Source organism: Homo sapiens, chromosome 13, assembly GCF_000001405.40.
Source record: "Homo sapiens chromosome 13, GRCh38.p14 Primary Assembly".
In the NCBI taxonomy this organism is placed as follows: Eukaryota; Metazoa; Chordata; class Mammalia; order Primates; family Hominidae; genus Homo; species Homo sapiens.
The window spans coordinates 30,334,606-30,356,668 of NC_000013.11; the positions used below are offsets into that span (position 1 = coordinate 30,334,606).

The 22,063-nt window shown below is 44.0% G+C and overlaps 2 long non-coding RNA genes across 2 annotated transcripts in view, besides 1 other annotated feature; one reads left to right on the forward strand and one right to left on the reverse strand.

The window, feature by feature from the left end:
* Positions 1–12,563, forward strand: part of LOC124903145 (uncharacterized) — a 29,426-nt gene extending 16,863 nt beyond the window's left edge. Inside the window, exon 2 of the long non-coding RNA XR_007063742.1 lies at positions 10,351–12,563. This is a non-coding gene — a long non-coding RNA (uncharacterized LOC124903145). The remainder of the gene's footprint in view (positions 1–10,350) is intronic.
* Positions 3,270–4,469: an enhancer, noted in NCBI's record as "P300/CBP strongly-dependent group 1 enhancer chr13:30912012-30913211 (GRCh37/hg19 assembly coordinates)". NCBI's record gives its function as "activates an origin of replication core promoter dependent on BRD2, BRD4, P300/CBP, MED14 and CDK7 cofactors, with strong dependence on P300/CBP, by STARR-seq in HCT116 cells {active_cell/tissue: HCT116}" and the evidence as "EXISTENCE:reporter gene assay evidence [ECO:0000049][PMID:35650434]".
* Positions 5,661–22,063, reverse strand: part of LINC00426 (long intergenic non-protein coding RNA 426) — a 33,649-nt gene continuing 17,246 nt past the window's right edge. Inside the window, exon 5 of the long non-coding RNA NR_024464.2 lies at positions 5,661–6,863. This is a non-coding gene — a long non-coding RNA (long intergenic non-protein coding RNA 426). The remainder of the gene's footprint in view (positions 6,864–22,063) is intronic.

Genomic DNA, 22,063 nt, shown 5'->3' on the forward strand with positions numbered 1-22,063 from the left:
TTTATGTCCTGTAAATTGGTGGTTATATCTAGAAGCTTGATTGGATTCAGGGTTGATTTTTTGACAAATTCATCAAAGGTGTGTACTTCTATGAAGGCACAAGATAAATGGTTGCTTTTTTTTTTTTTTTCAGGTGAGTAGCCACTGCTGATCATTACTTTGACCCATTATTTCCCAATTTTTTTTTTTTTTAGATGTGAGTTCTGTCAGGCAGGGGCAGGGATTGCGTACATTGTAGGGTGCTCACCTGGCTGGCTCCCAAGGCACTGGACTGTCAGAGGATCAGGGGTAGGGACAGCATGGACAAAGGGGACAAGAAGCCAGACTTGTCCTAAATGAGTTCATAGCATGGTCGGAGACACAGGACGTAAACACGGGGAAATAACAAAGATATGTCATAAAGCCGTGCAAATAACTTAGGTAGCGATCCTTCTGGGAGCGCAGAGGACAAGAGAGCAATCCACTTGGGTAGTCGGGGAAGGACTTTAGCCCAGACACTGACTTTCTCCAACGAAACACAATATCGTGTCTGGATGCCCAGTTACCAGTTGGCGTCCACCCTGGGCTTCCTGTTGCAAAACATCCAATCGATTTCTCCTCCACTGTGCATGTTGGACCAAAGGCTGCACAGCCAAGATTCTGACTCCCTCCTGGTTACATGCCCCCTTGTGGTAAAACCACAAATTACAACAGATTTTCCAACCATGAAGATGGGGACAGCCATCAAACATTATCAGCAGGGTGGAGGTGTGGAAAGAAGAGCATCTGTAGCGGGTCCATTCTGTGTCCGGCACAGAGCTGGGCACATCTGTGTGTGTTAGCGCATTCTTACCTCCCAGAGCCCGGTAATCGACCAACATTTGTGGCCGATGCTACTAGGCACGGACCCAGTATCTGCATTCACCTTCTTCCTTTCTGACAAATCCCAATTTTGTTCACGGTGGCAAAGTGCCCCCTAATGCTTGTCTGATCAGACTGGTAGCTAAGATGCTGGCCAGGGGGTTCTAGCTGGAAGTTGGCTGGAGATTTCTGGGAATGGCTTTGCTTTCCTAGTATAGGAGCTTCCCCTTTTTCCCTTCCTGCCTGGAATGCAGAGTTAGGTGGGAGGTAGAGCAGCCATCGTGTGGCCACGAAGAGGCCAGTGTGAAGACAAAAGCTTCACTTCGAGAAAGCAGCAGGAAGAAAGAAGCAACCTGAGTCACAGATGTTCCCAGCACCCCCCAAAATGCCTACCTCTGGACTTCCTGAGAAGTGTGAGAAAAAGACCTTACTTGGGTCCACCACCGTAGTCAGCTTTCTATTATACACAGCATAAACAGAATCTGTCTGATCGTTATCATCATGGTAGTTCGACTGATGTACTAAGATATGGATGTTCAGGTCGCTTAAGAAACTCCCTCAACTGGCCGGGTGCGGGGCTCACGCCTGTAATCCCAGCATTTCAGGAGGTCGAGGCAGGTGGATCAACTGAGGTCAGGAGTTCGAGATCAGCCTGGCCAACATGGTGAACCGTCTCTACTAAAAATACAAAAAAGTAACCAGGCATGGTGGCATGCAACCGTAATCCCAGCTACTTGGCAGGCTGAGGCAGGAGAATCACTTGAGCCCAGGAGGCAGAGGCTGCAGTGAGTCAAGATCATGCCACTGCACTCCAGCCTGGGCAACAGAGTGAGACTCTGTCTCAAAAAAAAAAAAAAAAAAAAAATATATATATATATATATATAAAGAAATTTGTGTAAATATATATGTACGTGTGTGTGTGTGTGTGTGTGTGTGTATATATATATATATTTCCTCAAATTCACACCACCACAATAGGGCACAGCTGGGGCTCAACACCACTTCCCATCAGCTTCTTCACCACCACCCCTCCCCTGCCACCTGATGACAACATATATGCACCTTCTTCTGTTTCATGATACCTCTCACCTGGCAAGCCAGAAGGCTCTTTCTCGGGGGACTGGAGTCATCACACTCTTCTGCCCACCAGAGCCCAGGCTGCTGGCAATGAAGACATCATTCCTTCCTTCCCAGGCCAGTCCTCTTGAACACAGAGCAGTGGCAGCTGCTGGAAATCCCTTCTCCCCTCCAGTGCCTCCACTGCCTGCCCTTTCTACCACCTTGCCCATGTTTGGTCATATCCAGAACACCCCTGTTAAAATAGAGCCATCTTGCTCAGCAGTTCCCCGCAGGTGTTCCACAAAACCCTAGTCCCAAGGGAAGTGACTTTGTATGGCTGGATTTAACTAAGACTAAGATGCACAAGCTTTCACATTTTAATGTCTCTGAAATTAGGATGTTTGTTACAATTGACGTATATTATCAGCAGCCATTTTCCCATGCTTTAACCGATCAGAAATCATATCTCACAGACATTGGCCTCTTAGCTCTATTAGAATGGTGCTTGAAAATAAAGGAGTTCCATGGTGAAATACGTTTGGAAAATAATGGAACAAACTAAATCAATAAACCTTTGCAATGCAGATCTTCTCAAAGCCTTTAACATGCTAAAGTGCCACTCCAAGAGATTTGCTAGGATTATTTGGCCATGGAATTCTCCTTTTTGTAGAGTGCCTCATAGTACTAGTGTTATATGGAATGCAAATTAAGAAACTTAGCTATTATATTCTGGGATAATTGACCAGATTTGCCAACCAACTAGCTGTCTTCTGGAAGAAAGCTCCAAGAAAGCTGCAGAAGACCTAACATGAGAAGCTGACAAGTCTGAAGCGTAGCCCTTTAGTGGAAAGGTCAGAGGCCTCACGGAGGCACTACCACCTGCTGAGTCACTGGAAAACACAGCAGATACCTTCGGGGGAATAATGAAAAGTGAAACGTGCAATGTTGTTAAGTTTCTCCCACTTGACTCTTTATTGGCAGCCAAGCCTACATGCCTTCATCCAGCCCAAAGAAACAAGAGTATGACTAGGGCCGTGCCTTCTTAATGCTTAGATACTATGTCTGACCTCCAGAACCTACAACGACATCATTGGTCTCCCAGATACAAACACATCTTATATGACCCTGGTAATGCTGAAAGGGGAGAGCATTCATAGAGAATTTGTAGTGCTGCTTAAACTCTCCAGGTGATTCCAATATTCAGACAAAATTGAGGCCCATAGTTAAGGCTCTGACTTGATGAAGCAGCGTTTAAATTGTGACAGCTGGGGAAAGATATGTTTCATTGTTTTGGTCATCCCAGCCCTAGGTGACAAAGGCCAAAATGGTAGTGATAGTGAAAATGGAGATAGAGATGGAGATAAGAAATGTTTTAGGGATACAATCTCTGAGGAGAGATTCAGAATAACTCAGGTTTTGAGAAGTTTGGCAGAATGACATACCATGAAGAAACGGGACAGTGAGGAGCAGAGGCCAGGATTTTGAAGGGAAGATGGTTATTTGAGTTTCTACATTGTGCTCTAGCCTTTAGAAGGATGTCCTAGTAGAAATGTCCAGAAGGCAGTTGGAGATGTCGGCTGGATTTTAGAGGGCAGAGCTAAACATTTGGAAGTGATCTGTATCCTGGTTATGTTTGAAGCTTTGGGAGTTTAAAGATTGTCTTCCCTGCAATGCGATACTGTTTGGAATACCACACATTTATAACTGCTGGACTCAGCGTGAAGGATGTGAAGTTCCCGTTCTGCTTCTGCCACTTACCAGTGTGTGACCTCAAACATGACACTCTGCCTTCTCAGCCTCAGTTTCCTTAACTAGAAAGCAGATGTAATCATACCAACCTCGCTGGGCATTTGTGAATATTAGTTGAGAAAATCCTTGTCAAGTGCTTGGCATAATGCCTGGTGCTGAACATGGCCTCCAGCCTTGTCAAGTCTCTCTAACGTCCCTCGCCCCACCCCACGCAACTCCCAAGCAGGCCGTGATTGATAGAAGTCCACTTCTCTTCTGTGCCAAGAGTGACTCTAGCAAAAACAAGCAATCAATTTGCACTCATCTCAATGGTATGTGTAGATCAGATCTTGGCAGACCAATTTAATTTTCTTTGATGGTAGATAGGCCATGTAGATAAAGAATGAGCAAGAGATGTAATCTCTTTGTGCTGGAATCTGACCTTAGATTCCATCACAAATGACTTTTCATCAATTAGATAGAAGGAAATAAGAGAGACTCTCTTCTGTCTTAAGTGCAGGCACAAAGAGCTGAATAATATCACCCAAAAGGCAGCCTATCGATGACTCAGCCTCCACCTAGGGACATCCTCTGTGACCTTACTCATGTCAGAGAGGACCCCATACTGAACATCTCTCTCTTTACACCAACAATGTCTTAACCAAGAATGTCCTAATTAAGGTCAGATGACACCAAGTTGTCAAGCATCCGTCTAAGGTAGGAATAGAGCCAAAATAGCATTAACTGACAGTTCATAAAGAGTGAGGTGCAATAGGAACAAGTTTAACATTAAAAAAAACTATGTAGACAAAAAGAAGAATATATGTTGGCTCGTTCACTAAACTAGTAACCAGTGTCACCCAGAGTTGTAGCCAGATAAGGAATGCTCAAGAATAGCCGGGTACCTGGACACCCCTGATAAATTTAACTCATATCAGAGAAGGCAACAGGAAGGCAGAGGAAAAGGGAAGGAGAGACAGAATGAGAAAGAGATCAGGGAAGAGAAGATAGGGAATTGCAATGTTGCTGTTGTTTTTGTTTATGTTGAGAGTGGAAGATGCTAGTCCATTGGAATTCACGTTCACTTATATGGGCAACAAATAATTTATTGAGCATGCAGTGTGTGCCAAGCACTGTAACCAGTGCTAGGGATATAGCAGTGAGTGGAACATTCAGGATCCTGCCCTCATGCGGTCTTCTTCCTCTACCCAACTTCCAAGTGTTGAGGAGCCCATTACGAGTCCTTAGATGGCTTCTCGTTTCCATCTGCACCCACCGTTCGTATGATCTCATCCACTACCACAGCTTTCCATACCATTCATCTGTGACTCCTTGCAGATTCAGACTTCCATCCCATCTTCAAGTGGCCAGTTATCTAGTTGTCCTCTCAACAAACCACAACCTTCGTCCATTCAAAGCAGAATCTTGATTCTTCCCTCCCCCTGCCCAAACCTCTTCTTTCTCCCATCTCTCCCACCTCCACACATGGCACCAAACACAGCCAAAACAGGGGAGTTGTCCTGGACTCCCACATCCCACGTTCTGTTGATTCTAATTTTCCAGAATTCGAATTGCATCCCACAGCCAAAAAACAGCAGTTTCTTCTTAATTATTTTGCATTCTAAAGATTGCTGCAAACAGGACTAGAGAAGACACCCCCGTCGTCCTTCGCTGTACCCCCTTCCTGCCCTCCAACTGTGACCTTGGCTGAACCAGCCCTACCACTATCAAGCCAACAAGAAGACTGCAGAAAGAGAGGGGTTTTGGGGGGTTTATTGCCTTGGGAGCAAGGACTAAGCACTCACGAGGAACGTTACTGCCTCCCTCACTCTGGGGAAAGTAAAGAGATGAATCCCAAAGTGATGAGAGGCTCGAAAGCCAGGGTCAGCAAACTTTTTCTGTGAAGGGCCAGATGGCAAATACTTTAGGATTTGCTGTCATACAGTGCCCGTCACAACTACTCAGTACTGCCATTGTAGCGTGAAGGCAGCCGCAGACAGTAGCGAATGAGACAGAAATAAATGAGCAAGGCTGTCTTCCAGTAAGACTTTATTTATGGACACTTACATTTGAATTTCATGTGATTTTTCACATATCACGAAATAGTATTCTTCTCTTGATTTTTTTTTCAACTACTTAAAATAGGTAAAAACTATTCTTAGCTCACGGGTTAAACAAAAACAGGCAGCAGGCCAGTCCTGGCCACTGGCCATACTTTGCCAACTCTTAATCCAGGAGAGCCACTCACAGACAATGCAGGGCCAGAAAGGGACAGTGACATCTCACTTCCCAGTAGACCCCTGATAAGCTGCAGAACTGCAGGCCCCTTCTGGAATGGAGCTAAGGGCGATGAGAACATTGTGTGTTCTCTGGAGGCTGGGGACACAGGGAGCCTATGGCCGGGGCCTGCCACTTAGCTGGAAGCTTCTGAAGGCAGGATGACTCAGTGGAGCAGGCCCTGATGCAAGAGGAACAGGACTCATTTGCACTCAACTATCTCTCAAAAATATTATAAAGCTGTGTCTCCTAAACTTCAGCTCTCTCTGCAGTAAATTTAAACTGTTGCGACATTGTTGCGGGTGATTTACTGGGGTGGTAAGCTTTTGCATGTTTTTTGGGAGGTTCCTTTTAAATTTCTACTACCATTGCTATCATTTTTAAGGAGTTATTCAGATGACAGAATGTTAAGCGCTGATAGTGGCTAACAAGGGAGGCTGCAGAAAGTCTATGCTGGGATCTTTAAAACCGTGATCAACTGCCATCTGTTTTGGGAGTTTTAAAGTGAGCCCAGCATGCATCAGGAGGCTAGGTGGGTCACCACTTAAGTCTCCTCCATCTTCCTAATTCCAAGATACGAGAGGAAACAGATGTGCGTTGGGGAGAGTAATGAGAAAGAGCAACTCTGCTTTCCTTTTCTCCAACAACAGAAACAGTGAATATTAACTCCCCAAATCCCTGTGTAACACTCACTGAGTACCCAGCCAAAGAAGTTTCCTTTGAAATTGAATCTGTCTGTCTAAGAGGGTCTACAAAGCCTGCATTTTAACTCTGAAATAATTCCAGTTACTTGAGCTGCTGTTGCTGCTAAAAGATGTTTGAAGAGGAGGAGGAAAAGCCATCTCGATATGACAAGGATTTGTCACTTGCTGCAAAGAAGGCACGGGATTTTTTTTTTTTCCCTGTAAAAGGGGTAGTCAGAGTTGGGAGCTTGTCCCTGTCTTCTTGGCCGAGATTCCTAGAGGAAACACAAATAGACTTTTTCAGGTCACAGGTTTCTCTGCATCAGGTGGTCCGGAGTCTCGCTCAGTTTCTATAAATCAGGCCGTTTCTCTCCAACTTATGAGTCTCCTAGCACTGGACATTCTGGAAATCCAAATGAAATTGACAAATTCGGTTGATGTCATAGCAAATTCAATGCACCTTGCTCTCTTCAGGCTGATTTCAAATCACTGGATTGAGAAGAGCTAAAATCTAGCTTTTGTTTTTAAAAATTAGACTGTATAAACTGATTTTAAAAAAATAACACAGGAATAGATATTATGTAAGATTTTCTATTCCCCGCACCCCCCGCCCCCCACCCCGCCACCAGATTTTTGTGGCCATCACCTTTTCGTGACCAATTTTATTCCCACAGTGCAAGCAGAGGGTTTGCAGTTTTGTGATGCCTTTTCGTTTTTTAGTGCCACATCATTATCAATCAAGATGTCCAGATAAATTACTTAACAGAGAGGCAGTAGAGGCGCTGCTCACATAACCACCCAGCTGAGAAAGCCTTCCTTCACTCACTCTCTTCTGTCCTGGACAGACTCATGTGGTTTACAGTTGCTCTCATTTCCATTTATCAGAAACAGATTTGCAAATGTTTTCTTTTAAGCTGGTGTCCCTTCTCTCCATTGTAATCTCAATAAGTATGAAAAGAGAAATATAGAAAATGAGCAGCATTGCTTTTTATCTCATCACCACTCACTGAGCACCTACTGCATACTCGCCTCCAAGCAGGCGTCCCCTCCCTAACAACAGCACAAGCAGGCATTATTCATCCATTTTCACAGCTACGTAAACTAAGCTGTAGAAGTTCAATAACTTGCCCGGGCTCATACTTCTGGTATGAAGTGGAGCCTGGCTTCCAGCCCAGCTCTGTCTGCCTCCAGCGCCTTTCTCTGCACTGTTCAGCAATGCCTGGCTACAGAACACGGCCAGTGTGGCCAAGCATTTTCCATGACTGTCCCTGGAGCACATTAATTCACCTCCTGAAGTGAACCTCTTTGGGAAGATGAGCCTTTTCCAAAATCAATACTTTTCATTGTAGTTAAGCAATTATGACCTAAAAGAAAATTTTCACCATGATACTGAAAGCCACCAGCTTCACATAAACACCAAACGTGCTGTAACTGAGGAGGTAAGGGGCGAGTCCTTGTCACACATTTCTTGGAGGTCAGGTCAATCCACCTGTGAGCCCAAAATTATGCTGGCAGAAGGAAGAAGCGAGATGATTTTTAATTGTTATGAAGTGTGCTGGTAACTTAAGTTGTTCTGTATTTCCATCCTTGTTTTGAAACCAAGCTGAAGCTCTCTCTGTCTCTCTGTCTCTCTGCTTTCCCTACAAATTGGACAAGAGTTTCTTCTTGGCTTCCATATGACATCAGGTCTTTCCTAAATAAAAGCAATCAATGCAGGAAAAAAAAAAATTCAAAGATAGGATGCCACTCTCTTTCACAACGATTAGTAGTTTTATATTTCCTTCCAGTCTTGTTGATGTGGATTTAACTAGTACATATTTTTAAATGCTAAAAATTGTATGTATTTCTTTTTATACCTCACATTATATCATAAACATATATGTTTCTATATAACCTTTATATGACTAATTACATCATAAACATATTTGCATGTTTCTATATAACCTTTACGAATTTAACAACTGTATAATATTCCTTCAAGTTGATATACCCCAGTTTCTTAAACTATTTCTCTTCTGTTAAGTGTTTGTAGTGTTTCCCTAATATAAGTAATGTTTTGTTTTCACCTAGGTCTTAGAAAAAAAAATAAGTACTGTTAATAAACTTTTTTGGTGTATATACCCTTTTCCCTTTCACTGGAATTTTTATTTAAGCTAAACTGTCAGAAGTATAATTACAGGGCCAAGAGATTTGAATATTTTATGTTTGATCTTTCTTACATCCTGAACACATACATATTATTTTCAACATTCTTCCTGTCATCTTCTAAGCATAATCTGGGAGAAACAGTCAATTCATTTCTTCATTTCTCTCACCCTTGACTGGGCATTGGATTATAGTAGAGCTTGCTCACCCTCAAAGCTGCTGCCAATTTCTTCCTTCCTTTCCTCCTCTCCTCTCCTCTCGTCTCCTCTCCTTTCTTCCTACCTTTTCTCTTCTCTTCTTACCTTTTCTTTCTGACAGGGTCTTGCTCTGTTGCTCAGGCTGGAATACAGTTGTACAATCATAGCTCACTCCAGCCTCAACCTCCCAGGCTCAAGGGATCCTCCCAATTCAACCTCCTGAGTAGTTAGGACTACAGGTGCACAGCAACACACCCAGCTAATTTTTGTATTTTTTGTAGAGACAAGGACCCACTATGTTGACCGGGCTAGACTCAAACTTCTGGGCTCAAGTGATCCTCCAGCCTCAGCCTCCCAAAGTGCTGGGATTACAGATGTGAGCCATGGCGCCTGGCCAGCTGCTGCCAAATTTTGAATATAAGCTAGACTTCTTGAAAAGTCCCTATGTTTCCCATATAAATAGAAGGCCAGAAAGATTTTTTTAAAATTATTACTCAGTGCTGGCAAGGGTACAAGGAAATAGACACTAATAAATTTCAATGAGTATAGACTGGTACAAACTTTCTGGAAAGCAATTTGGTAATATATGGGAATGCATTTAAAATGTATATATGCTTTAGGCCGGGCACGGTGGCTCACGCCTGTAATCCCAGCACTTTGGGAGATCGAGGCAGGTGGATCACCTGAGGTCAAGAGTTAGAGGTCAGCCTGGCCAACATGGCGAAACCCCATCTCTACTAAAATTATAAAATTAGCCAGGCATGATGGTGGGCGCCGGTAATCCCAGCTACTCAGGAGGCTGAGGCAGGAGAATCGCTTGAATCTGGGAGGCAGAGGTTGCTGAGCGGAGCTGAGAGCACATGACTGCACTATAACCTGGGCAACAGAGAGAGACTCCGTCTCAAAAAATAAAATAAAATAAAATAAATAAAATAGAATGTATACATGCTTTAGTCCAACCATTCTATTTTAATAATTTATCATAAGAAGGAAAGTCAAGGTAGGTACAAATATTTGCTACAAGCATATTCTTTTTAGCAATCCTTATAATAGCAAAAATAAAAACAAATTTAATCCAACAAAAGGTGACTGGCTTAAGAAATTATGACACATCTGTATAATGGGTATCATGCAACCATTTAAAATTATAATTGCAGATGACAAGATATATTAGTCACATAAACACAGCCTCATAATATATGTAATGAAAAAAGTCATACAATAGCACTTATTATATTGTCTATTTGTGTAAAATATATATACCTAGATAGGAGTATGATATGCTCCAGTTGTTAACAGTATTTGTATCTGGATGGTGGAATCATTGGTGGTGAATAGTTTTGCCTTTTTATCTTTTACACCACAGGTATTTTGTGTTTATAATAAGAAAGAAAGCTTATTTTTTTCTCATTTATACCAGTTTCAGAAGCTTACAAGTGCACAAAAATGTTTCCTGCCGCCCCCACCAAGATGGAACAGGGACAAGAAGAACTGATCTGCATCATCCTCTAGATTCTGTGTGCGCTTCCTGATCCATGCCTCCAAATGACAAGGGTTACAGGCATGCAGCAATGAATGTAGGCAAAATCCTTTCTGTATCTAATTCAAAACACCAGTACCCCCAGTCTAGCAAAGGAAGTGAGAATGCCCCAACCACTCTAATCAGGGACATGGACAGTTCTCCCAGCAGAAGTAATGAGGGCCTCCTCTTGAGTCAAGAAGATACTATCTTCCCTCTGAATCCACAAAATGAATCCACAAAAGCTCTAGTAGCTAATTTTTCCTTTCATTAAAATAAAACAGGTGGTACAGTAAGTAAAGAGCTTATCAATTGCACATTAAACTAGAGGTAATGGGTACTGTACTCTCTGTATTACGTTTTCTATTGCTGTGTAACAAATTACCCCCAAACACAGTAGCTTGGCACAGCAAATGTGTGTGACCTCTCACAGCATCTGAGGGTCTGGAAACTAGTAAGGTGGGGCTGACTCAGGGGCTCTCACAAGGTTGCTGTCAAGTCAGGGCTGCAGTCACCTGAAGGCTTGACTGGGGCTGGAGGAGCCACTTCCAAGTGTGCTCACAGTGTTCATGGCTTCAGGCCCTCACTGGCTGTTGGCTAGAGTCCCCATGGCCTCTCCATAGACTGTCTGCATGTCCTTTTGACATGAGAGCTGGCTTGAGAATTAGTGATCTGATAGATGAGGGGAGAGAGAGAGAGAGGGAGAACATGAGAACTAATCTTAAAAATAAACTCCACTGGGTTCTGCTGTGTCCTATTGGTCACATAGATCAACTCTGCCACAGTGTGGGAGGGGACTACACCAAGGGTGAACACCAGGAGGTGGGGACCATCACAGGCCATCTTGAAGGTCACTGACCACATTCCCCAATCAAAGGCCTGCCTCCCCAACACAGCCCACCACCACTACCTCAGTCAGAGAACTGGGGACTCAGGAACTTAAAGCCATCTCAAAGAAATACAGTTGGGAGACCATGGTTGCAAATGAGTCCACGAAAGCTCTAATAGCTAATTTTTCCTTTCATTAAAATAAAACAGGTGGTACAGTAAGTAAAAGAGCTTATCAATTGCACATTAAACTAGAGGTAATGGGTACTCTATAACTCATTTCCATTTCATTGTGCTTTGCTTACTAGAAGCTTTCAGATTTCCCTGGCAGCAGTTTCAAGGAGATTCTGATAGACTTATTTTGCTTAGATGCAGACACTGTGCACACTGAGAAGGCTTTTTCTCTGTGTCTGGTCCTATGTGCAGTGTTAGCGTGGCTGTCATAGATTTGCTCTGCGTCTTGCTCTGGCTATTGTCCTAAAGGCACAATTTTGGCCAAATGTAGTTTACTACTTGGTTAAGGGGAAGTGATGTGGGGAGAAATCACAGTCCCTCAAGGCCTAACATCGAGGGATTTAAAGCCTTAACAACTGCCCATGCCTACTTCATTCCAGAGCTCGTCAGAGAACACCCAGCATAGGACCTGGGCTCTGCGGGCCCTCCCACCTCCCTTAGCTCCTGTGCTACCCAGCCCTTGCAGTACAAGCTGTACCTGTTGTCAACCTCCACTCACCACACCTACCCCAAGCCCAGACCACATTAACCTCCATGGCCACAGCTTCCTCTTCACCTCTTTCTGCCCTTTCTAGCTTCCAGCTAACTAAAAAAATTATTACCAACAAGGTCAACTGACAGTCTCCATATACTTGCCTCTAAATTTTGGAAGGTAATTGCTATAGTTTGATTATGGTTTATTTGACCCCAATAAATTTCATATTGAAATTTGATCCCCAATGTGGTGTTGTTAGGAGGTGGGGCTTAATAGGAAGTATTTTGAGTCATGAGGCAGATCCCTCATGAATGGCTTGGTGCTGACTTCTTGGTAACGAGTGAGATCTCATTTTCTTAGTTCCCGGAGGTGCTAGTTGTTAAATAAAAAGCCCAGTACCTCTCCTCTCTCTCTTGCTCTCTCTCTCACCCCGTGGTCTCTACATACCAGCTTCCCTTTGCCTCTTGCCATGAGTAGAAGCAGCCTGAGGCCCTCCCCAGAGGCAGATGCTGGTGCCATGCTTCTTGTACAGCCTGCAGAACTGTGAGCGAAATAAATCTCTTTTCTTCATAAATTACCCAGCCTCAGATATTTCTTTACAGCAACACAAATGGACTAAGACAGTAACCAAAGGTATCAGGTGAAGTGGAGTGGAAGAATTCATGTGACTTTTTATATTTTTCCAGTGACTTAGTAAGGTTGCTTAACCTCAGGGATGACAGAAGAGTGTTTTCTAGACCTGTTAAGTAAACGAATGAAGAGTTGGGGAAGGATAAATTTAAGTCTACTAGCCCTGTTTGACAAAATAAAAAGTTGGCAGCTCTATGATGTTCTCCCCACCCCTGTCCCATCCAAAAAAATCGTAATAATCTGGCCTGTGAAATCATACAGTTAGGAGACCCCCAGCTGAAGTCAGGAATGTCATCGTATTGTTCATATTGTTAGTTCCATGACTGCTGTCCTGCCTCTTGAGGTCAGAATATGAAGTAATGCCTGTCAACACTAAGATGTCCACATTGTCACTACATACTGTGCTGTATTTGCATTAGGAGGCTTGGCCAAGTAACAAGAGATGGAGAAGAATCTTATGGGTGTGATACAGAGTATATTCCAAAGTGGAAGAAGGGTTGGGGCATGGTGGTGTACACCTGTTGTCCCAGCTACTCAGGAGGCTGAAGAGGGAGGATCACGTGAGCCCAGGAGTTCAAGGCTGCAGTAGGCTATGATTGTGCCACTGCATTCCAGCCTGGGTGACAGAGCAAGACCCCCAACTCAAAAAAAAAAAAAAAAAAGTGGAAGAAGGGTTGTATTGTGGGGAAAGTTTACCTGCTTAAAGATTTGACACCAACTGGGGTAAGTCCAAGGGACCCAGTGGCGAACTCCCCTATCCTGGTCAACTTGATACAGGTGGCAGCTGGATAGTGTGGTATATAAACCCTGTGTAACTCAGGACACTCCCAGTGGGCTAGTGGCAAAAGCTGAACTCAGGCTAGTTTAGATAACAGGGTCAGGGATTGAAGTCAAGGATTTGAACGCCATCAGAATTCTTCTCCCTTTTTTTTTTTTTTTTGAGACACGGTCTCACTCTGTCCCCCAGGCTGGAGTGCAATGGCACGATCTCAGCTCACTGCAGCCTCTGCCTCCTGGATTCAAGTGATTCTCATGTCTCAGCCTCCTGAGTAGCTGGGATTACAGGCATGTGCCACCACACCTGGCTAATTTTTTTGAAGAGACAAGGTTTCACCATGTTGGCCAAGCTGTTCTCAAACTCCTGGCCTCAAGTGATCCACCCGCCTCGGCCTCTAAAAGTGCTGAGATTACAGGCGTGAACCACCACACCCAGCCTCCCCATCATAATCTCTGCTTTTCTCTTTGCATGTAGATTTCATTCTCTCCTCCTACAGAGGGCTTTCTTCACAGAGCAGTAGACATGGCAGCCCACCTTACCGGGGAAACAGCCGAATGACTCTGTGACCAAGGAAGAAAGGGTTCTTCTGCTAGGTCCAGCTAGGAGAACCCTGGTTTAGGACTCTGCTGGGTGCCAGGTCCATCCCTACACTAATTCCCATAGCCAAGAGGCCAGCTGTGTTATTAAAAGATGGAGCAGAAAGGCAGACAATAGCCCCTAAAAGCACATGGACCTAGAGCTGGACAGCCTTTGGTTCAAACCACTCACTAGCTGTGTCTTTGTGAAACTTACTCAGACCCTGTAGGCTTTACTTTATCTGAAAAACAGGGATAATGCTAATACCAACCACAAATTGTCATTGTGAAAATAATTTAAATGTGCCAATAAGTATAGAATACTAAATTTCATATCTTGCACATAATAAATGCTCAAAATGTCCATTGTCTATTTGGGCAATTATTAAAGCTTTGTTATCTGCTCAACACAGAGACCAAACCACAGTACCTGATCTTCTCCTTTGTACCCGAATGGTGCAGCCCTCTGGTTTCAACACTCCCCTATTTCTACAGCCAGACTGGAGTTATGTTGGATAATTAGGTTGGTGCAAAAGTAATCGTGGTTTGTGTAATTACATTTATTTATTTATTATTTATTGGGTTTTTTTTGAGATGGAGTCTCACTCTGTTGCCCAGGCTGCAGTGCAATGGTGTGATCTCGGCTCACTGTAACCTCCACCTCCTGAGTTCAAGTGATTCTCATGCCTCAGCCTCCCGAGTAGCTGGGATTACAGGTGCCTGCCACCACACCCGGCTAATTTTTGTATTTTTAGTAGAGATGGGGTTTCGCCATGTTGGCCAGGCTGGTTTCGAACTGCTGACCTCAGGTGATCCACCCACCTCAGCCACCCAAAGTGCTGGGATTACAGGCGTGAGCCACCGTGCCTGGCTGTGCAATTACTTTTAATCACTTTAATTGCAATTAAAAGTAACTAGGTAGGTCTTTGGTATTAACACCATAAGATGCTAGCAAATCACACAGGCGAGAAGGTGTGAGGGGGTCAACAAAGGTAAAAACCAGAATCATACAATTCAGGACTTCAAATAATTCATTGATATTTCAGATAAAACTGTACCCTCCACGTAGCTATATAGAGGCAGAAAATATAACTTGGTGTTCAAGATTGTGTTGTCATGAAAAGATAGAACATTGGATTTGCAGACAAACAAGTTGGCCTCAGCTACTGTTGGTTTGCTTTAAGGCCTCTGCTTTATCCATCAGTAAAACAGAAATAATGATGTTCCCCCTCAATTCCCACAGAGGTTTGGTAAGACTTAACGAGGTACTGTTGGTAAAATGCTTTGAGCTCATCTCATGAAGGGCTCTATGTAGGCACTTGGTCTTATTATACAGACACTTCATGGTCATATATGTTTAGAGTAAGATGTTGCTTGGAAGCACTTCAGAGAATTGCTAAGAAACACAGATGTATTAAATGGTATCTTCTTAAAAACTGAGATTAGCCAGGCACAGTGGGTCACACCTGTAATCCTATCACTTTGGGAAGCTGAGGTGGGTGGATTACCTGAAGTCAGGAGTTTGAGACCAGCCTGGCCAACATGGTGAAACCCTGTCTCTATGAAAGATACAAAAACTAGCCCGGTGTGGTGGCAGGCGCCTTTATTCCCAGCTACTTGGGAGGCTGAGACAGGACAATTGCTTGAACCCAGAAGGTGGAGGTTGCAGTGGGCCGAGATCGTGCCCAGCCTGTGCGACAGAGTGAAACTCCATCTCAAACAAAAATCCCAAAAAACAAAAAAAGCTGAGATTAAATGGGAACTGGAAGTTTGGTACTGTTACCACCTTGTCCTAGCAACTGTATTGCTAGCAATTGTGTTGCTGGGACAAGGCAGTAACTGTATCAGTCTCCTTCTGCCCAATCGTGTTGACACCACTTTTCTTTGACCACCTGTGGATACTGATGACCTCCCCTCACCTCATTTTATTTTAACCCTTTTATTTATCCCTCATGTCAAGCATCATCTCATTCTACTGAGGTGTCATCTTTTCTTCACCACAGTTTGAGAGCTACAATTAGACAATGTGAATTTTGGATGGATTACCAATGTGTTAACAATATGTGAGGAGAGGTAACTGTATGCTATAGAGAAATAAATTTAAAAACAATTGATTAATATACTGAAAAGATAAGAAAACCATTACAAAGGCATAAACTCAGTGGTGCATTAGGGCCAGCTGACACTGACTTTTGAGAACTGATTGTTAAATTGTCGGGAATTTTGCTAGCTGGTTGTTGCACATAGCTATTTAAAAAACTAAACTGTATAGGCTTACAATTTTTAAAATTATGTTAAAAATAAAGTTAATAAAGGCCAGGTGGGGTGGCTCACACCTATAATCCCAGCATTTTGGGAAGCCAAGACAGGCGGGTCACCTGAGGTCAGGAGTTTGAGACCAGCCTGGCCAACATAGTGAAATCCTGTCTCTACTACAAATACAAAAATTAGCCAGGCATGGTGGCAGGTGCCTGTAATCTCAGCTACTCAGGAGGCTGAGGCACGAGGATCGCTTGAACTGGGAGGCAGAGGTTGCAGTGAGCCGAGATCGCACCACTGCATTCCAGCCTGGACGACAGAGAGAAACTCCATCTCAGTAAATAAATAAATAAATAAAGCTAATAAAATCTCAATACTCGTCACTTCATAATATTTTTATAATTATATATTCTCTTAAGGTTACTTTTTTCTATTGTTCATGTCTACTGTATGTGTATAGTGGAAATATTACACAGATGCTTCTTGACTTATGATAAACTCATTTTAAGTTGAAAAGATCATAAACCAGGCCAGGCACGGTGGCTCACACCTGTAATCCTGGCACCTTGAGAGGCTGAGGCATGTGGATCACCTGAGGTCAGGAGTTCAAGACCAGCCTGACTACTATGGTGAAACCCTGTCTCTACTAAAAATACAAAAATTATCTGTGTATGGTGGCAGGTGCCTGTAGTCCCAGCTACTCAGGAGGCTGAGACAGAAGAATTGCTTGAACCCAGGAGGCAGAGGTTGCATTTGAGCTGAGATTGTGCCACTGTACTCCAGCCTGAGTGACAGAGCAAGACTCCATCTCAAAAAAAAAAAAAAAAAGAAAAAGAAAGAAAGAAAGTATCATAAACCAGAAAGTCATTTAATACACCTAACCTACTGAACATCAGAGCTTAGCCTAACCTACCTTAAACGAGCTCAGAGCACTTACATTAGCCTACAGTTGGGCAAAATCATGTAACGTATAGCTTATTTTATAATAAAGTGTTGAATATCTCATGTGATTTCCTGAATACTGTACTGAAGTACTGTTTCTACTGAATGTGTATCACTTTCACACCATCGTAAAGTCAAAAAATCGTTAAGTGGAACCATTTTAAGCCAGAAACCATCTGGATAATGGTGTGCTACTTTGCTTTTCTTTCCAACTGCATGTTCAGGGATGTCCTTTTGGTGCCTTGAAATTAGCCACATTAGGAATATTTACACCACAGAAATTGGACTGCTACCACTCAGGGTTCCTCCCTTCCCCGCAAGAGCTGTTTTATCAAGCACTTACCAGCACACCACTGCCTAGACCCATAAGTATAAAGAGAAAATAGGAACAGAGACAACAGTAGATAAAAATGTTAACAATGTTATGGAAATAAAAAAAAAAAGCAGATGAATGAGAAGCAACTAATTTAGCAGAGAAGATAAAGCTGCAACCTAAGCTCAAAGGGAGAGAAATCTGTAAGAAGCAAATCAGCTACACCACAGAATCTTAGAAAAAGCAGAAATTGGTTCCCTCTGTGCAGAACATGGGTGCAGGTGGGCTGAAAACAAATGTGTTGAGAATTTGTACATGGAGCTATAAGACTCCACATTTATTTCCATCCCTATGTAGGCCTATGCACAGCTGCACTGTCACACCACTGTCCCTGCCCAGCCTCGGGAGGAAAGGTTGAATCCGAGAGGGACTGGACTCAAGGACACCAGGCACAACCAAGACCCGGCGTGTGACACACCATAGAAACGGAATTAAAAGACACTCCGTGCTTTATCGTCATTGTTGTTTTGTCTTGCTGTCACCCAGGCTAAAGTACAATGGCATGATCGTGGCTCCCCGCAGCCTCAAATTCCTGAGTAGCTGGGACCATGGGAACATGCCAACATGCCCAGCTAATTTTCGTATTTTGTAGAGATGGGGTCTCACTATGTTGCCCAGGCTGGTCTTGAACTCCTGGTCTCAAGCAGACCTCCTGCCTCAGCCTCCCAAGTGGCTGGGACTCCTGAGTGAGCCACTGCACCCAACTGCACTCTGGATTATAGGACACCACAGCCTCCTTCCCCCTCTTAGATCCCAGAATGTTGGCAATGAGGGTTCTACCCCATGGGCAGAAGATTCGAGGATTCATCATTAGGGAAGCTGACCAGTTGGAGAAAAAAGACTTATAGAGAATGACCTAGTGGGTTCCTTAATGAAACATCCAGCTCTCCACTGAATCACCTGACAATGAGCCCATTGGTTGACAAGCTTCACTCATGCACACGTCACTTGAGTGTCAACAGTAAATCACCAGACATTTGAAGAAAGCCTCTAACATGAAGAAAAAATATTCCTGAAGTTGAGTTCTATGCCCAGACAAGTGCAAGGGACATTTACAAGGTCTCCAAATATTTAGCTGCCATGAACCCTTTCTCAGGAAGCTACTAGAGGATGTGCTCCAACAAAACAAAGAATTAACCAAGAAAAAGATACAAGCTCTAGGAAACAGGGAATCTAACACAGGAGAGAAGGAAAAATGATTTCCAGGAGGACGCTGAAATCTGGGCTGTAACTATAGTGGACCTGAGGAGAAACCAGCCTGAGTTTGAAGCAGAAGGATAGTTCCCGGAGGACGTCTGCACAGGAAGAGAAATGCAATGGCAAGATTACTAGTGTGTTCACCACACTGAGGAGAGCTTGGGAATGAATTACTCATAAATGCCAAAAAAAAAAAAAACCCTATGAATTAAAAAAGACAAGGCAATTATTAACTCCCGAGGAGAAAAGATATACATGAGCAGAAATGTAAACGCAGTACACTGCAGACAATATTTACATAGGCAAAATAATACAAATACTGACCAGGGATTTTATCAGAAGATGTGCTGTCCTGTAATTTGTAATATTCTAAAATGCACATATTTTTCCCATTTTAACATTTTGGAAATCAGAACACATTTTTTAGTCAATGTGATGAGAAAGTGTTGCATCATAGTTACTTTACTTGCACTTCTCTTCTTTTGTAGTGCCTCATAAAATAATGGCAAACCTTATAATCAAAGGCATGCATGTAAAATAGATAGAAATACAGGAACTCTGTTCCTTAGTGAGGAAGAAGCACGTCCTGGGGGGAGGAGGAAAAAGCTACCTCTTCATCTTCCAGTAAGTCAGGAGATCATTTCTAAGCTTTAGAAAGATACAACTCTATAAGCACATCATTTGGAATGATTGCTGCAAATACCAGGAGTCATAGACAGTGGCTGACTCTGGGCAGCAGTACCTGAAGGCAAGAATGGGGGGGCAGGAGGCTACAAGGCTATGAATTTTTACTAAAGCTTGTAAATATCTGAATTTTAAAACTATATATGTGGATTAGAAGTAAAAATAATATGTAGAAATAGGCCGGGCACAGTGGCTCACGCCTGTAATCCCAGCATTTTGGGAGGCTGAGGAGGGCAGATAACTTGAGGCCGGGAGTTCCAGACCAGCCTGGCAAACATGGTGAAACCTATCTCTACTAAAAATACCAAAAAAAAAAAAAAAAAAAAAATAGTGTAGTGGTGTGCGCCTGTAACCCCAGCTACTCAGGAGACTGAGACACAAGAATTGCTTGAACCTGGGAAGTGGAGGTTGCAGTGAGTGGAGATTGCGCCACTGCATTCCAACCTGGGAGAAAGAGGGAGACTCTGTCTCAAAAAGGAAAAATAAAGGGCAAAAAATAATATGTATAAACATAAAAATAATGAAATAAAGCTTTGCCATGTCAAGCGTCATCAGAGCAGAAGTTTTCAGACTAAGACAACCAGCAGGGATTTTCATGGGCTTCTCTGTCAAGACCCGCCTTGGCCAGCCCATGCTGTCATCCCCGATTGGGTTTGCAGAAGCAGGCGTCCTGGGCGACCAGGCCTCCTGGGCAACATGTACATGGCCTCCTATGGCACCTCTTGCCTCCCATCTTAGACAATTCGCTGCCTGATTTCTCACTCCCAGGAGATTAGATAGCTAGGCTTCAGGGAAAGTGGAAACCGCAGCTCGCACAACACATTTTTCTAATGTCTTGTTACTGGGAGCCCTCAAGAATGAGAAAGGAAGCTGGCGGTTGGGCAGGTGTGGAGTTTTTTTCACTTAGACATCTGTTAGTGGTTCTGGAAGCCCACCCCTCCTGTTTTACAGACGAAGAGCTCTGGATTCCTGATGCAATGAGGCATTCATTCTGACAGTGTGTTCCAGCTGCACGGCGATGGGGGCGGAAATGTACACGGTATCCTGGAACCAGAGGGTGATAAAGGGAGAGGAAGATTCCTCCTGATAAAGCAAGAACTGCTTGCTCCTCATGTCAGAATTGCACGAGTTACTGCAGGCAAAGAGGCCACCCCACCATACACTGGGACATTTGTGCATGGCCTGGCTCTGGATGGGAGAATTTTGCAATTCTGCAAACAAGTCTTTTGTTTGCAATTCTGCCCGGGATCTGCATGAGGCTGGCATGATTTGGAATAAGCATATAGGGAGTGCCAGGCAACCTGAGAGGCCAGCAGGACCACCGGCTGCTAACCCCACCAGGGCTGACATTCAGCTGCTGTGAAGGGCTGCAGCCACACCTTGTGCTCACATAGAAATGCTTCCACACTGGGTGGTAAGCAGCCCAGGCCCTGGCCCCTCCCCTGGAGCCCCCACACCTCCCCACCATCCTGCAACCAAACGGGGGCATATATGGCCCAGCAGGGGGCCTCCGGGAGCTGACTCTGGAGGCCCTGCGGTGACAGGTCTGATGGGTCAGGCCCGCCTGTTAAACATTTTAAATATCGCCCCCTGCAACCAGATCTATCAGCGAGTGGCCCGAAGGCCCAAATTCCAGCAGAAACCTCTCCACCTTCCTCTCCTGGCCTCCTTTCTCCCTGGCCCAGTGTTTGCCAGTTCAGAACACCAGAGAGTATCTCATCTAGTAAAATGTATTTTCCTATGAGCAAGAAGAGAAGCCCTTTTCTTATTCCCTGGGGGACCCTAGTACTCCAGCCTGCAAGGAAATGCTCCTATGTGCTCTTCCTTCTGCTTCCCTAACTTGTTTATCCTGATCCATTAGGTTAAAATGGCCAGGGAGAGCATCCTAAAAGAGGAAAATAAAGTTACTAGAGGCTGACAAGCAGCCTCCCGAACGTGTGCCGACTGCAGGAAGAGCCAGGCCTGGGCGACTTGCATATCCTAGGCTGGCTGGGGGCACCTGATACCCGAATTTTGTAACCAGGGCTGCCAGTGGCCCTCTTTACCTCTTCCTTCCTGCCTCTCAGCTGCCACTCTGAGCATCTAGACCCTGCAGAACAGAGATTCCTCAAGGTATAAAGCCCAGGCCACAGATGCCCCCGGCCCTAAGGATACACTGAACTCCTTCTATGCAGCCATAGGGAGGGGACTTGTCTTTCCCCAACATGAGAAGCTTAACTGGTCTCTTACCCTTTGGTAGAGGCAGGCCCAGGTGTGGCCAATGGAGACAAAGGGGTCCCCCAGTGTTCCTGCCTAACCTAGGGTCTTATGGGGTGGAGGTGGGGCCTTGGAACTCACCAATGTGCATGATGATCTGGCAAAATCATCCAGTCAGTTTCCTCTATCTCGATAGAAAACATTTTCCAATCTCCATATTGTAAGACTTGGGATAATTTAGCAAAGGATCTCTTTTGGTTTTGCCTTTACATGAAATCAGTGGCAGGCTGCATAGTGGAAAGTGTCCATGAAGTAAGGACCCAGAACACCATTAAACATTTTATTTAATTATTTTTTAGAGACAGGGTCTCACTTTGTCACAACTGGCATGCAGTGGCATGGTGGTAGCTCAGTCAGCTGGGCATGGGGACACACACCTGTAG